The sequence below is a fragment of the Homo sapiens genome, chromosome 9 (assembly GCF_000001405.40).
Source record: "Homo sapiens chromosome 9, GRCh38.p14 Primary Assembly".
In the NCBI taxonomy this organism is placed as follows: Eukaryota; Metazoa; Chordata; class Mammalia; order Primates; family Hominidae; genus Homo; species Homo sapiens.
In genome coordinates, this window is record NC_000009.12 from 4,284,704 (window position 1) to 4,299,236 (window position 14,533).

The 14,533-nt window shown below is 40.8% G+C and overlaps 1 protein-coding gene across 17 annotated transcripts in view, besides 1 other annotated feature; it reads right to left on the reverse strand.

Annotated features, from left to right (window-relative positions):
- Window positions 1-14,533, reverse strand: part of GLIS3 (GLIS family zinc finger 3) — a 666,339-nt gene that overhangs the window by 460,577 nt on the left and 191,229 nt on the right. For 10 of the 17 annotated variants that reach the window (XR_007061257.1, XM_011517763.3, NM_001438911.1 and 7 more), the window contains exon 2: window positions 1,335-1,820. The exons of 4 other annotated variants lie outside the window; for them this stretch is intronic. Coding sequence is in view for 10 of the 13 variants with exons in the window: in XM_011517763.3 (XP_011516065.1) it covers window positions 1,335-1,722 (388 nt within the window). In the remaining 3 variants the exon portion in view is untranslated. Of the gene's footprint in view, window positions 1-1,334; window positions 1,821-13,576; window positions 13,794-14,533 lie in introns of those variants that run through there. 3 more of the 17 variants (NM_001438906.1, NM_001438907.1, NM_001438908.1) reach the window with 3 other exon arrangements.
- Window positions 12,366-12,660: an enhancer, noted in NCBI's record as "tiled region #13837; K562 Activating DNase unmatched - State 12:CtcfO". NCBI's record gives its function as "activates a minimal TATA promoter and a strong SV40 promoter by Sharpr-MPRA in K562 cells {active_cell/tissue: K562}" and the evidence as "EXISTENCE:reporter gene assay evidence [ECO:0000049][PMID:27701403]".

The following is a 14,533-nucleotide window of genomic DNA, read 5'->3' on the forward strand; positions in this document are numbered from 1 at the left end:
AGTTGGAGACCAGCCTGAGCAACATAACGAAATCCTGTCTCAAAAAAAAAAAAAGAAAAAAAAAATTAGCCAGGCGTTGTGGCACGCACCTGTGGTCCCAGCTACTTGGGGGACTGAAGCAGGAGGATCACTTGAACCCAGGAGGATGAGGCTGCAGTGAGACCAAGATCATGCCACTGTACTCCAGCCTGGGTGACAAAGTGATACCCCGTCTCAAAAAATTTTCTAATTTAAAAGGCACATGTATGTTTAGTGCTATTTTTTTTTTAAACCTGCCCATTTATACCAATTTATCCAAACACAGAAATACACAGACTCTAAAACAACTTTTTGGCTACTTGACTGATAGAAATCATTATTCACCTTAATTAACTGAATGACTGGCTATTCTGAAGGTTGCTAGTAATTCTATTTGCTGGTGTAAGCATTTTTAACATAAACATTTAAGACGGAATGCTAAAAATACCTTAAGGAATATATAATTGTGCTATTTTATACAGCAAAGCTATATTTTACGTGGGGTGCATGCTCTTTCTCTAAATACATACGTCATCTACAATATAACCTCATTAATTCAACATCAATTTCTAATGTGTCGCTCAAATAACTTGCTATTCACCAACAATTATTCTTTAATTTAAAATATATGGTAATTAAAACACTAATGAATTAAAAGCACATTCTCTCTATACTTCAAATTGACCAGGTTTTCTAGTTCTCCGCAAGCACAAAATACATCTTTTCATTATTCCCTTCTAGCTTGCTTCCCTCTTGCTACTAGCTATATGATAAAAATTACAGGCTTTGCTCTTAATTTTTCTTATTTATATTTATTGATTCCTCATTTTATTGGTTATTAAAATTTCCCTTTTTTATTCTTTTCCTTCCAAACACCACCTTTCTTCTACACTATACTTTTAGCACTGGCATAAGGACAGTTCCAGTCGGTCTTCTTGTCCATGGCCTGGAGAATTCAGCCCCCAGGGAAACAGGGCAGCGCTACCTGTATCCGGAGGGCATGATCTTGCTAACCTAGCTCTTACCCTTCCACCACAACCACTCAGCCTGCCTCCCTATTTTTTATCTTTCTATCTTACTGTTACTCTGTTTCACAGTCCCAGGAGATGTCTCATACTCAGCATTTACCACTGTGGTCCCCTCCAACACATACACACCCATTCCCTTACTGAGCAAGCTATATATCATTATGAGACCATCATCTTTGACCCTGACACTGAATCATGTATTTTTCCATAGGATTTGCTGGCAGAAAATGGGATGGGGGAGAAAAAAATCGTTTCCATTTTTAAAAGGTTCCAGAAAGACAATCCTACCTTTCCCAGGATTTGGAGGAAAAGGGCTTCCAAACTCCTGCTGCTTTGGCTTTAAAGTATGTGACCCTGACATGCCTCCAGCCTGGGTGACCTGGAATCGCGGCTTCCCATTGGTGAGCATTTGTCTCCTGGGGCTTAAGGCAGGCAGATGGATGCGGCTCTCAGCCACGTTGTTCTGAGGAGCCATCCCTCCTCCTGAGGGCATCTTGAGATGGAGGTTGTTAGCAAGGCTTGCCATAGTGGGACTCGATGTGCTGCCACAGGGCGAGGGGCCAGGAGTCCCGGAGTGGGCTCGGATGGCAGGAATGTGATGACCACTGACCATCCTAGGCCCCTGTGGGGTTCCCGATGTCCGGTGGAGACTCATGCTGCATGATCTTCCATTCATTCTGAAAAACCTGTGGCCAAGACGGTCAAATATCCAATGTCACTAATGACTCCTTTCAGGCAAAGTCCAATAAGTTATCCATGGTGTGGGTTATAAGCCTGTTTAAAAAAATAAACGCAGGCATTTTTAAAAGCAAAAATGAAAATAAGATACAGTGAGTTTTTCAACCTGTGTATCATTCATAAGGAAGAAAAGCAGCACTCTTAGCAAGATGGCCTTTTATGTAGAAAAGGGTCCTCAAATACACGGCTCATTGGCAGGCACTCTCCCCTTCTGCACTCATGGTGGACATGGATTATGGATCACTGCATTGTTTTGTTTGCCACTGAGCCCTTCTCAATACAGTGCTCTCGGCAACTACAACAATCTACTGGTGCCAGCTTGCAAAACAAAACTTATTTTGTTCCCTAGAGGATCTGTCCATACTAGTTCACTTTTGCTACAGTGGGTCTTGGGAAACCCAAAAGCACCACCTACCTGAGCTGTGAGACCAATGCTTCAAAGTTCCAGTAAACAACCACAAAGCAGACATGGCTTCTAAATGAGACTATGGGGACACTAAACCATCTCTGATTTTCACTTTAAGAGCTATCTTGTCACAGTCCCTAGATTCGAAAAAGATGAACACCTAGGCCTGGGAATACCATAAAATTTTTATATATCCACATATTCATATATTCAAATATTCATGGCAGCATTAGAGTCTTGGTTCCATAATGATCCTGAGTTATGGGGATGGGAAGAGAATCAACAACAGGATACTGCAACCTTCCACTAAAATCCTAGAAAAGAGAAGGGCTGTGCAAAACGCCTTACAGGGAGCATAAGGAGAGAACGTCCCTTCTAAAAGTGACCTGTCCAGTATGTACATGATACATGACATTCAGTAAATCTACCATAGTTCCATAAAGCTTCCTAACATTAAGGAAGCAGAACAAGAACCAAGAGAAGCACTGACATGATCGCAGGACGTCATCACCCACCCACGTGATGATGCCGGGTTGTAAATCACTAAAGAAGGCCCCTCCTTCCCTTGACCAATAGCTCCCCAAAATGTATGCGATGAGGTGGTAAAGTGCCATGGTTGTGCCACTATGCCAAATGTATTATAGACACTGTCACAATCTGTCTTTCAGAGATGACAGTCATGGAAAGAAGCCAAAGTTCAACAAACACAGGAAATAAGGACTGAGTACAAAGCAGGAGTGACCAGATATCCTCAAGTGGATGATTCCTAATTTTTGTGTATGATCCACTCAAAGTGTTGAACAAACATTTTTCAACTCAACTTCCAAATAAAGGACTCCATAAATAATCGAGAAAAGGCTATCAAGGAGAAACACTTTTTGTGAAGAGTTTATTTTTCATTTTTAGAAAATCAAAAATATCTAATTTTAACTCAAGCACTCACTATGCCTTCTGCAAAGTTTGCTGTGTGTGCCTATCTTGAGGAAATTCAAAAGTAATTAACAATATAAAATGTAGAATGTTTTCTTAATTCTTACTAATTCTCTATTTTCACTAAGAATGCCATCAGTTTGTGACATTTAATACTATCATGCCATCTAGTTCCGGAAAACACTCAGCCACATTCCTCTAAGTCAGGTCTCACTCCTGCCCTCTTCTCCCATGAGTACGAAGCAGGAGTGACCAGATAACCTCAGTTCTTACATTGGTAAAATTCCAATGCTTTTTATGGTACATTTATGTAGGAGAACTCCTGTGTGTCACCAGCCAGTCTGTAAATCCATTCATTGGTAGATCATGAGCAACAGTCACTTAATGTCTCTGTACTTTGCCAGATAAAATTGGCCATCTATTTTCCTCTCATTGATAAAATAGTGTTTTCTGAGCACTCTGAACCCTGCAGAAGAAAGCACGTATTCAGCAGCAACCCACCCCCCGCCAAAAAAAGGCAAAAGAAATATGTCACATTGGCAACTTTTTTAAAATAAAGAATTGTTCAACATGACTGGAAATATGAGTCACTAAGACCATGGTCCAAGTGACAAGTGTCTGCAGATTTTCAGACTGTGCCCATTTCCAGGTTTTTAAAAATAAAGGAGTCATTTTTTTTGGCAGCAAGATCATATACGAGCAGGAATTCTCATCAAAAAATCTGGATAAAAACACATAAGGAGGTACTTAGCACGATCATTAAAAAGGTGAGTTTGCAAGAAGGAAAAATAATTAGAGCACTGACAACTTAATTAAGTATCAGGCATTCACATCTGCCTGTCTTGGAATGAATATTTATTTTATTTTATTTTTTTTATAAACTACACTCCCGTTTTAAATAGTTTTAGGTTGAAAGTAAAAACAACAAAAAGTATACTTAAATTTTATTACTAAGAAAGCAACAGCCAGAAAGTAAAGTGATTAATACCATAACGAAAAAACCAATAGGCCAATGGCATGTAAGCTGAGCAAAACCAGCCTCAAGACAAAAATAAAAGAAACTAAACATGAAAATATGGCGAATATTCCAGTTTTCACATTAATTACGCCAACAGATTTCTCAAACATTAGATATTAGAATGTAAAAATAAATTTCATCTATTTATATGATAATATTTTCTATACTTTTTAGCTAGGCCATATGATGAAGATATAATCCTAAGTCTCCTTGGTAACAAAAAAAGGGATAAAATGCTATTATAACTTTTAAGAAAGACCCTCATAGAGTGTGAATGAAATGGCACTCAAAAAGTCAAGATACCCAAGTTCTACTTCTGACAAATCATTTATAACTTTTCTGGACTTACAGTTTTTCATCCATAAAAAGTTCAGGAATTTGGATCTATTCATTACGGCCTCTTGAAATTCTGTAACTCCAGGTAATTTAGAAAAGAAAGACTATCAAGAACACCCATTTGCTATAATCAAGAATAAATATGTAGATTTTATACCTATGGCATTTAAATCTGGACGGTAGACATGGAAGCAAAAAATAATAGCATTCTCTACCACCCCCATCAAAGTGCGAGCTGATAGAAAAAGGCTTGCCCATCAGCGATGTGTTGTCTATGGGCAATACTAACCATGAACAACAAATTTCAACATTGCATTTACACTTTGCCAAAAAGGTAAAATCACAACTAATCACTGTCAAAAACTTAACTGACAGGATTCCATCGGAAGAGCACCTTTCTAGTTAAAAATCCAATCACATTATTCTAGTCAGCATTTTCTCCTCTGTTCTCCATCGAACTACTCTACCCCAGGCTACCAGTAACAAAAACAAAAGAAACAAGAAAAAGAAAAAGCAAGGAACATCCAGAGGTATAAATTAGGATATTTTGGATCTGACATTGTGGCATAGCTAGAGTTTTATACTACATTGGTTCCTACAATGAAAATGTTCATTCTGCTAATATGAGTCAGCATGAAAGTTAATAAATCTTTCCTTTTGACCACTTTCAAACTCTTTGAACACACTTCTGTAAATCAGGTCAGAGAGGAAATTACTTAACCCTAAGGAAACTAAGGCACAAAACCATTTAGTAATTCCACTAGTTTTTCTGAAAATGCGTGACTTTAATCAAAATATAAAATCATGACTCTACCTTCTACCCAAGGCTCCAGGCACTGCTCATCATGGATTAAAAGATTAAACAAACGAAAAGCAATGTTAACTCATCCATTCCAGAAAATTTCAAGAACATGACTTCCATAATGCCTATTTACAGCTAAAGGCCCTTTCTTAGTAAATATCATTAACAGACCCATCTAGAGTCATAACTCATCTGATGAGCCAGTTAATTATTAATTTTCATACATCATTTCATTTCCTTAGGCTACATTTAGCCTTTGTTACATTTTCCATTTCTTATGCCACAAGCACTTCTTACTCTGCATAGAAAACCCGATAATGAGGCACAAAATACTGGCCAGCAAACAAACTGCTTCTGACTCTACTTCTTATATATCTGTCTAAGCCATCTACAATAAGAGTTTTTATTGATCCTTTTTATTTTTTCCCTTTGGGTTCATGACTGTATAATTTCATTAATGCCGCCTTTTCAACATCGCTGCCTTGTTAATAGGTCCCTGCTATTCCCATGGGCTTCTCTTGTTACAGCTTTTGTAGCCAGAAGAATCTAGAAATGAAAAGCCTATTGATAGATAATATAAGTTATTCTCATGCACGGCTGCAGTGTGAAGCACATTTCGCAATTCAATCAAGGACAGATAGAGCTGAATGTTCTTAGATCCTAGGAGTTCATTTAAATAAGCAGAATGTCCCTTGTCCTAACACAGGTGACTGACTCCTCAGAAAAGACTGTATAAACAAAAACCAATCACGTAAGTCATTTTATTGGCAACAATATAAACACAGCTATATTAGATGTCACCAATAAATCAAAATTATTCTTGTCTGCAATTTTAACCAGAGGAAAGTGCAAACATGTGCCTGTGAAACTGGAGGATATTATAGAGGAAATATATTGGATGTGTACAACATTATTTCCCCAAATTGAAACTGGAGGATACTATATTATGATATGATAACCCATAACAAGGTAGAGTTTGATCATTTCTGTGGTTCCATAATTTTATGCAGTACAACTGACAAATTCATAGAATTTGCAACCGAAGTTACACAGAAACAGAACTGAGATAATTCCTCATTATTGAAATGTGGAGCAGAAAGTTAGGGAGGTTACACCTAATAACTAGAATGTATAGACCTATTCACTTGGGCACTCCCAAGGCCTAACGTTGGTAATTCTAAGAATATGAATATATTTATTCTGAACACCAAGGTGTACAAATGTTACTTAAGCAATATAATCACCAATAAGACGAAATAAAAGAGGTTTTATTTCTGAGTTATACCAACTGAAGACAAATTAGTGTCCTCTGCAGGGATTCTTCAAGACCATTCTTCCAAAGACTACTCAGAAAAGATAATGTAATGAACATGAGGGACCTCACCTAATAGAAACTCTGACTTTGTTTTATCTGTCAATTCGAACCTGTGCAATCTAATCAGAGATATAAATGTTTTAACTTTTCATTTTTATATTTTATAAAATTTTCTCAAAAATTAAAATAATCTTTCCTAAGTTTATAGAGTGAAAGGACTGGCCATGTCACTTTAAATTTAAATTAATGGCTATGACATTCAAAATATGGGTAGTAAATATGAACAGGACACAGAAGAAAGAAAGGAGAGAAAAGGGAGAGGAAGGGAGTAGGAAAAAAAGAATGACCACATCCGATTCAGGAATTTACTCCTCTTAGTCAATCCTCATTTAAAAATCAGAAGCAGCATTGAGAGCCTTCCACACAGTGATAATGGCTACAGATTGCTGGAGCAAATTCAGGACCTTCAGGAATACACCGCTCGAGGGCAATATTAAAAGTTCAATAACCTCTCTTAGAATCTCCTTTGCACTCTTCAGTGCATCTATATAACTTTCATATCCTCCTAGTTTACTAAATGTCACTACTTTCACTAGTAATTATTAGAAGTGTTTCATTTACTTTGCCCCAGTCATTAACTCATCAATGAGTACAGAAAGGTCTAGAGAGCCATGGTCCTACCAAAAATGGCAAGGGAGAAGAGGAAAATTAGGGGTTTTCTTGGTCAGTTATAAGAAATCACACAAAATGAAAACGAACTTGGAACCAAAAAGATTTTTAAGAAAAACGTAAATAAGTTCAGAAAGTACCATGCCTTGGGCCCACAGGCTGTAAGTTCCTACATCTACATTCAATGAAGTATTCATTTTAAAGTAGTGTTTTTCAAACTGGATTGCAATTCATTGGTGGTCCATGAAATTAATTGTTCAACGGAGAAAGCATTATTTAATGAAATAGGACTACTAGAATAAAATAGAAGCTATTGGAGTGCATCAAATATATTAATGGTGAACTATTGGTTTTACTTCACTTATTTGTGGGTATACCTATCTGCCCATTTGTATGCATATACATCTTCTGGGTAAGACAAAAAATATATTGTAGGGTGAGTCACGGCCAAAACAGTATAAAAGTCACTGTTAAAAAGCACTTGGACTATTTGTCTACCCAAGTACTTACCAAGAACAGCTGCAGGTACAGAGTTGAACAGTCAAAGTAAAATAAATAACAAAATATAGCTAGAATGAAGAACAGAAAAGATCTAAGGGTTTGACATTTTTGGCTTTATAAAACGTAAGGATTCAATGATACAAAGCTTCATTCCTACCACTGCTATCTTTCACTGTGCAGTAAGTATCAATTGATCAATTGTGCTCAATAAGTAATAACTGATCAACCAACTGACAGAATAAGGATCAAAATTACCGAAAATTTTGGATCTTTTTCATTGCAGGGGATAGGTAACTTCCCTGGAATAAAACTCCCCTCTTACACTGCTAAAGTGGGTAAAGTTTAAATTAACACACAATGTCTTTGAGAACTGAGTCTTTCAAAATGTGTTCTTAATATGAGTTAGCCATCAGATTCTGAAAAGAGGAATTTGAAATGGAAAAATGAACACATTCCTGATGATGTCACTGCTGAATTAATTACCTGAACTGCAAACACTGAATAGCACATGGCCAGGGTTTGAGACACAAAGGCTTCTTCTTCAGAAGTATAGAAGTAAAATAACTGGCTGGAGATGTTTCTTTCAAGAAAAACAAACAAACAAACAAAAAACAAGCCCATCCTCACACAAGAGGGTACATAAGGAATAAAATGTGGCAAATGAAAAGAGCATTCATTATCCTTTAGTCTGTGTAACTAAACACTTAGTCCATATGACTAAGTATTTGCAAGGCTAAAAAATCACAATCCTTCAAAAAGGGTAACAAACATCTACCTATGGAAGATTCTAGAAATAAAATTTATCACTCAAACCAAATATTCAGGCATCTTATTGTGTCCCCATCACACATGTAACTGAGTGATATTTTTCCTTCAGCATAGTTATTGCTTAAAAGTGACCGATGTAACTATTTCTGGCTGTTGGTAGACAGCAGTTTTACAGAAGTTAAATTATGTTCACTGACATCACTGCGGAAGTATGAACATCCACAACAATGACTAGGCCCTTAACCAACATGACAACATATTTATTAAAAAGATTTTTTGAAAACCTCTGTGAATGACTCAGCCAAGTTACAGACAGAAGTGGAATCTATCGGTCATGCTGAAAAGGTTGGGAAAACATTAATCCATTTCTTCACACACAAGAATAACAAAACTTCGTAACTAGCCCTGGCATCTGGTTGGTTTTCTGTGTACAATATTCAGCAGGCCTACAAAAGAAATTTGATGGAGCTGGCTTAGAACTTTAGAAATCACTGGTATTCAGAAAGTCTGATCTCTTTATCATGGAGCATAGGACAGGATCTGATCTTGCATTGTGACGCTATCTGCCCATCTGCAGTTGAGCAAGTCTTGCTGCTCCTGAAGGAATGTGCAGTCATTCTTGTTCCTGGCTTTGAAGAGATCATGTCAGACAAGGGTGGCCCCACCAGCTTTCCTTGACTCAAGTCTGCCCTCAGCTACTGAGAACCTCATAATTCAAGTTTTACAAATTCCTTTTCTTCCCAAAGTGGAACATGATTGGATCTTTGTTTCTGTTAATTCTACAAACCGCCTTAGAGTCCAGCTCGATGGTCTTTTCCCTCCTCCTTTATTTTGTTCTCTTTTCCCCCAAATCCAGATCCTACTTATCCTCTAAGCCCACCCCAAACACCCACTTTAGGCCCTCCTTGATCCTTTTTTAGTCTCTATAAATCTGACCTGTAAAAATGGGGATAATGATGCTACTGTGCATAGTTCATAATATTACAGAATAATGGGCCAGGTGCGGTGGCTCACGCCTGTAATCCCAGTACTTTGGGAGGCCAAGGTGGGTGGATCACCTGAGGTCAGGAGTTCGAGACCAGTCTGACTAACACAGTGAAACCCCCATCTCTACTAAAAATACAAAATTAGCCAGGCATGGTGGCACATGCCTGTAATCCCAACTACTTGGGAGGCTGAGGCAGGAGAATCACTTGAACCCAGGAGGGGGAGGTTGCAGTAAGCCAAGATCACACCATTGCTTTCCAGCCTGGGCAGCAAGAGCGAAATTATGTCTCAAAAAAAAAAAAAATTACAGAATAATAAATGAGAATCCACATCACATGCTTAGCACACTGTTCAGCACACAAAAGGACCCAATAAATGTTATTTTACTCTACACACCTCTCTTTCAACATTCATAACTTTCTACACTACATTACAGTTATTTGCCTGTGTTTCACTTTCCTGTCTAAATTCTAATTTTATTAAGTTTTGGGGTCATAGCTAATTTATCTTTGAACTTTCCCCAGCCCTTACATGTACACAGATTGTTTTACACCTATATATATTTTTCACAGTACATTTATCATATAGTTATGCTACATCTATATATTCACATACATTTATTCTATTTATATTGTTCATTCTGTACTGCTCATACTGAAAAACATGGTGTAAGTGAAATATACAATTATAACCCACATCTATAATTTACTGCCTGAATAAATACAATATAAGTGAGGTGTGACCATAATCATGAATCCCATGGCTTATGGAACCAGTTTAATTACAGTTGCATGTTTCCTAGTCTTTTCCTTTCTCTACTAGGAAAAAGTGGCACAGAAATTCTATTCCATTCTTCTGGGTAGGCATGTTATTCTTGCCTTTATCTTGGCCTACTGGTGAACAATGAAAAATCCCAGCTAAAAGTTGCAAATGAACAGTTCAATACTGAAACCAGGCACTTACTTTTTTTTTTATTATGGGGGTTGCTGGCCCTCACGAAAGGACGGTGAAATACACTCTGGGTTGCCTTAGTGGAAGGAACGCCTCTGAATTTTCCTGCTTCCTACACTGGTGTCACATTAGACATTTCACTTGTGTCTGTTTGGTCTCCCTAACCAGACTGTCATCAGAATATAAATATGGCTTCAGTTTGGTTAGTGTTTTTCCTTAATTCTATCATATTAAGTAATGCCTCACTAATTTCTGCAAGCCAGACTGTTTCCATCATCTTTAAAGGGGGAGTCCAAATTATTTGACCTAATAAAAGGTTGTTGTGTTGAGCGAAAGAAGCCAGACCCAAGAGTGCATATTGAATTATTCCATTTACACAAGATTTTTTTTAAAAAAACCAGACAAAACTAATATATCTGTTAGAAACCAGGGCAACGGTTACCTTAGGCAGAGGTGGTAACTAGAATGGAGTGTGAGAGATGTTTCTGGTGTGTTGATAATGCTCTGTTTCTTGATCTGGAGACTAGTTATGTGGGTGTGTTCCACTTGCAAAAAAATGCATCGAGCTCAAGATAAGTGTGCTTTTCCGTAAGGATATTTCATCTCAATAGAAAATTTGGCTTTTGTGTCAACTCTGCCTAAAGTAAGTGGGAAACTACAAAAACTGGGGACTTGGACATCTTTTAATCAAACTATGTATCAATGTCATTTCAAAGGTTTTGTTATGTGTCATCTTCCTTGAATGAGAATGGCAACAAGTTTTTTTTTTATCACACAGATTTCCTATGTGCCTTTTTTCCCCAGTCCTGATAGTCTATGAACCAACCAAACTTAGGGAAAAGTAAAACAGTTAAGTCCTGTATTTCCACCTTATTTACAATATAATGCCCTCTACAGAAAATAATCACAGAAACACAGAAAATGACTTCTCCAGAGATGAGAAATGTGCATGTGACGCCACTCTGAGTTATCTCCTTCAAGAAGTATGTATTCTATAATCTGGGAGAAGAGTAAATTAACACTCCAACTCCAAAGATCAATAATTATAATATGAGAGAGACAACAGTGGAAAGAATGAATGTCCTCAGGCTTAATTTACTAGCAGGAAAGAACAGTCAGAGGAAAAAAAAAAAAAAAAAAGACCGAGAACACTGAGCTCTCTTCTGGAATGGCAGAAGGACCACTTTCTCCTGCATAAATGAAGGCAGGGCTAATACAAAACGTTTTCTGGGTATTATTTAACCTCTCCTACCCAGGCTATTTTAGCTCAGTAGGAAATTCACCCACTAGGTGGACCTTGGAGTTCATCCACCACCCCAATAAAGATTGCCTTTCTTATTTGAAGTGATGATCACTTCTTCCAAGCAAACCAACAAACCCTAGGTATTCAACCTCTGATAACCTGCCTACTAAGGAACTTCAGTGGAATCAGGGGATCAACGATGCTGTCCCCAAACTGGCCTAAGGTGAACCAAGGGGAGAAGTTAACAGCAGCACTTAAATTGATCTACTCATACTCAAGGATTACTGAGTCTTCTGGGCAAGAAAAGAAAGCAATTACAAACTACCAATAAGGACAGGTGTTTTGAAAATAGCGAAAAAAAAATGTCCCCTACACTTCCTTTCAAAGGTAGCCTCAGAGCTAGTCTGGCTGCGCAGATGACCAGTGAAAATAAATGAAAACTGCAGTACGGTTATAGATGATCCTTACACCTCAGCTTGTTCTCAATTGCAAAAAAAAAAAAAAAAAAAAAAAATGCATATAATCTAACACTCTCCTGTCTAAATTGCTTCAAACTTTCTCAGAACGACCTTCATCGTGGCGGATTCTTTTTCTGCAAACCTTTACAGGTTGCACCTGCTTCACACAGAACCAGCGGAAACAAACTAGGAGGAGATAAAAGAGAAGAAGTAGGAAGGTTTAAACCAACACAAGTCGATTTTGTACCCAAAAAAAAAAAAAAGTTTAGTCTAAAAAGGGAGGTCCAGTGAGGAACAAGACAGAGGGTGAAACAGAAGTCTGGCTTACTCCCAAGGCAGAAATCATGACTCATCAAAGCTTTCAGAGGGGACAGAACCAGACTTTGCATTTGTCTTGAGGTCATCTTCGAGCCAAGAAATGCTCTCTTAACCGGGACCTGAGAACTTTAAGGGTCTGCGACAACTGGCTGTGAGGCCTTGGGCAAAACCTCTAACGTCTCTGGGGCTCGGTTTCCTCATCAGGTGAAGCCAGGGTCCACTCTAGCTTTAATAGTCTCTCCTCGAGATTCCCGGCCCCATACTAAAGGGACCTGGTCCACTGGGGGGAGCTGCAGAACTTCCCTCTTCTCACAAACTCCAGGGCCCTGGGGCCCCAACTCTCGGGAGATGCTGAAGTCTTGGAGGAAGTTGGTTCTGCCGGCTCGGGGAGAGGGTGCAAGAGCAACCCTCTTTGTGAAACGGGGCCGCGACTCCACGAGTCCTGTCTCTACGGACCCTACTCCCTGTGATTCCGGAAGCACCTCCCTACCCCTTCCCCAGGTTTACATGCTCCAGAGATGAGGGCCAAGCGGATACCGGGGCAAACTAGCGTGGGGCTCAAGGAGGCACACAGAGCAGTGGTCTCAGTCCTCGAGACCACTCCTGCCAAGAGGAGGGCTGGAGAAGTCGGGAGAGGTGCCGGGAGCGGGGGAGAGGCGCGTAGGACAAGGCAGGAGGAGGGCGGCCCTTATCGGTTCCCTATAGGACTGGCTTCGCTGCCGGGGTCGGAGATTCCTCGGCGCGGAGCTAGGGGCGGGTCCGGAGGCGGAGGCGACAGCGCCCGGCGGGGTACGCGCGGCTGCGACCCCGTCACTCCCCCGCCGCCTCCGCCCCTAACCCTCGGCCCCGTGCGCGAGCGAGCGAGGGAGCGAACGCAGCGCAACAAAACAAACTAGTGCCGGCTTCCTGTTGTGCAACTCGCTCCTGAGTGAGTCGGGGGCCGAAAGGGTGCTGCGGCTGGGAAGCCCGGGCGCCGGGGACCTGCGCGCGCTGCCCGGCCTGGCCGGAGCCTGTAGCCCGGGGGCGCCACGGCCGGGCTCGCAGTCCCCCCACGCCGGCCCCCCGGTCCCCGCCGAGCCAGTGTCCTCACCCTGTGGTTTCCTTTCGCTTCTCGCCTCCCAAACACCTCCAGCAAGTCGGAGGGCGCGAACGCGGAGCCAGAAACCCTTCCCCAAAGTTTCTCCCGCCAGGTACCTAATTGAATCATCCATAGGATGACAAATCAGCCAGGGCCAAGATTTCCAGACACTTGAGTGACTTCCCGGTCCCCGAGGTGACTTGTCAGCTCCAGTGAGTAACTTGGAACTGTCGCTCGGGGCAAGGTGTGTGTCTAGGAGAGAGCCGGCGGCTCACTCACGCTTTCCAGAGAGCGACCCGGGCCGACTTCAAAATACACACAGGGTCATTTATAGGGACTGGAGCCGCGCGCAGGACAACGTCTCCGAGACTGAGACATTTTCCAAACAGTGCTGACATTTTGTCGGGCCCCATAAAAAATGTAAACGCGAGGTGACGAACCCGGCGGGGAGGGTTCGTGTCTGGCTGTGTCTGCGTCCTGGCGGCGTGGGAGGTTATAGTTCCAGACCTGGCGGCTGCGGATCGCCGGGCCGGTACCCGCGAGGAGTGTAGGTACCCTCAGCCCGACCACCTCCCGCAATCATGGGGACACCGGCTTGGATGAGACACAGGCGTGGAAAACAGCCTTCGTGAAACTCCACAAACACGTGGAACTTGAAAAGACAACTACAGCCCCGCGTGTGCGCGAGAGACCTCACGTCACCCCATCAGTTCCCACTTCGCCAAAGTTTCCCTTCAGTGGGGACTCCAGAGTGGTGCGCCCCATGCCCGTGCGTCCTGTAACGTGCCCTGATTGTGTACCCCTCTGCCCGCTCTACTTGAAATGAAAACACAAAAACTGTTCCGAATTAGCGCAACTTTAAAGCCCCGTTATCTGTCTTCTACACTGGGCGCTCTTAGGCCACTGACAGAAACATGGTTTGAACCCTAATTGTTGCTATCAGTCTCAGTCAGCGCAGGTCTCTCAGTG